The sequence below is a fragment of the Homo sapiens genome, chromosome 14, assembly GCF_000001405.40.
Source record: "Homo sapiens chromosome 14, GRCh38.p14 Primary Assembly".
In the NCBI taxonomy this organism is placed as follows: Eukaryota; Metazoa; Chordata; class Mammalia; order Primates; family Hominidae; genus Homo; species Homo sapiens.
The window spans coordinates 87,795,722-87,797,871 of record NC_000014.9 but is presented as its reverse complement, the minus strand read 5'-3'; the positions used below and the strand labels follow the sequence as shown (position 1 = coordinate 87,797,871).

Below are 2,150 nucleotides of genomic sequence, written 5' to 3'. Positions count from 1 at the left end.
TTCCCCCGCCCCCAGCATGATGTGAGAGCAGTGAGATGTCCCACTACTGGAGAGGAAGGCAGGGAAGATGAGAGACAGCAGGACCTAAAGAGGAGTCTTGCTCTGTTGCCTGGGTTGGGGTGGAGCAGTGGCGTGATCTCGGCTCACTGCAGCCTCTGCCTCCCAGGTTCAAGCGATTCTCCTGCCTCAGCCTCCCGAGTAGCTGGGGCTACAGGCGCATGCCACCACGCTAATTTTTGTATTTTTAGTAGAGTGGGCTTTTGCCATGTTGGCCAGGCTGTTCTCAAACTCTTGACCTCAAGTTATCTGCCTGCCTTGTCCTCCCAAAGTGTTGGGATCACAGGGGTGAGCCACTGAGCCCAGCGAAGCTGATTTTTTTTTTGAAAGTTACTTTATTTTCGCTTTTTGCAAACACAAAATTCCAAATAGAGAAGCCTTGTTCTCTTGCTGTTGCAGGACTTTCTTCACCACAGGTCTTATCCTCATGGACCTTCCTCTGACTTCTGGGCCAGGGAAACAAGACAGGTTCTCCTAGAGCCTGGATCTGCATCCAGCATCCTCCTTTCCTCCCACTTCTCCTCTGAGTGCTTCGGTAGTAGGTGGCTGCCTCTGACATCGCAACATCTTCCTTTTGTGAGCTGCTATGACTTAATCTCTGCAAGATTAGCCTTATTGTTATGGCTCTAGTTTATCTGGTGTGATCACAGCATGCGGCAGTTTGCTGAAAGGTACGGTCTATTAGGAGATGCTTGTTATAACAGTGGGAGGAGAGCAATAACAAGTACAGCTGAGCAGCTTAGCATTTGACTGATAGGTACGTAAACAAGAAAACACCACGGCTGGATTCTCATGCTTCCGAGGAGTCCAGTAACAAAAAATGCTATGCTGTCAGTGTCACAAACTCAGTTAAATTAACTGATATCCATTTAATTAATTAATTTATTGTTCGGGACTTGTGGAGGACTCACGATGTGCCGGATTCTGGATCAGATGCAAGGGATACGGAAATGAACTCGAACATCCGTGCATGCTAGGTGCTCATGTTCTGATGGGAATACAGGCCAATAGGGCCAGAAAAATTTAATTAAAAATGGATTAAAAATTACTGAGAAGTTACTCTGTGCCAGGCTCTGTGATAAGCACACAAGGAGAAAACATATATTTTCTGGACTTAAGAATCTCTCACTTTTTCATTCAAGGTGATAGGTGCTTTACCAGAAGAATTGACAAGGTCCACCTAATTCAGTTTGTTAAAGCAAACTAAATATGGCCTGAGAAGGACTCTGTACTTCTATATTTGAGTCCTTGTGGATGAACTGCAACCTAACTTATTAGGTAGACAAGATTGAAAACCTAACTTAAGAGTATGCACCTGTAACAATAGCTGAGTCTTGGCCAATCCCAGAAGATGTACTTCAACCACTCATACATTGCCAAGTGTTCAAGCAGTGTTCCAATAAGGCAAATGCCAACCTGTAACCAATCCATCCATTCCTGTGTCTCACTTCTGATTTCTGTACATCACTTTACTTTTTTGTCCATAAATTTGTTCTGACCATGAGGCACCCCTGGAGCCTCTCTGACTCTGCTGTGATTCTGGCTGTTCTATTTGCAAATCATTCATTGCTCAATTAAATTCCTTTAAATTTAATTCAGCTGAAGTTTTTATTTTAGCAAATTCAACAATTATTCTAGGACACTATGTCTTGTCTTCTTCTTCTTTTTTTTTTTTTTTTTTGAGACAGAGTCTCATTCTGTCACCCAGGCTGGAGTGCCCCGGTGCAATTATAGCTCATTGCAGCCTCAAACTCCTGGGCTCAATTGATCCTCCCACCTCAGCCACCTGAGAAGCTGGGACTACAGGCATTCACCACCAAGCTTGGCTAATTTTCTGTATTTTTTGTAGAGATGGCGTCTCGCCATGTTGCCCAGGCTGGCCTCGAAATGCAGGGCTGAAGCTATCCACCTGCCTCGGCCTCTCGAAGTACTGGGATTGCAGGCGTGAGCCACTGAGCCTGGTCCTTATCTTGTCTTAATGTGTGTGTGTGTGTGTATTTTATATATATTGCTATTTCTTGGGGTGGGGGGAAAGGAAGGGGAGGGAGGGAGAGAGAGAGAAGAATCCATCAGAAGTTTTCTGAAACGGCTCT

At 44.9% G+C, this 2,150-nt stretch overlaps 1 annotated feature.

Annotated features, from left to right (window-relative positions):
* Positions 381–1,072: an enhancer, noted in NCBI's record as "OCT4-NANOG hESC enhancer chr14:88263144-88263835 (GRCh37/hg19 assembly coordinates)". NCBI's record gives its function as "activates a minimal SCP1, AML or CMV promoter by ChIP-STARR-seq in naive H9 embryonic stem cells {active_cell/tissue: H9 hESC(naive)}" and the evidence as "EXISTENCE:reporter gene assay evidence [ECO:0000049][PMID:30033119]".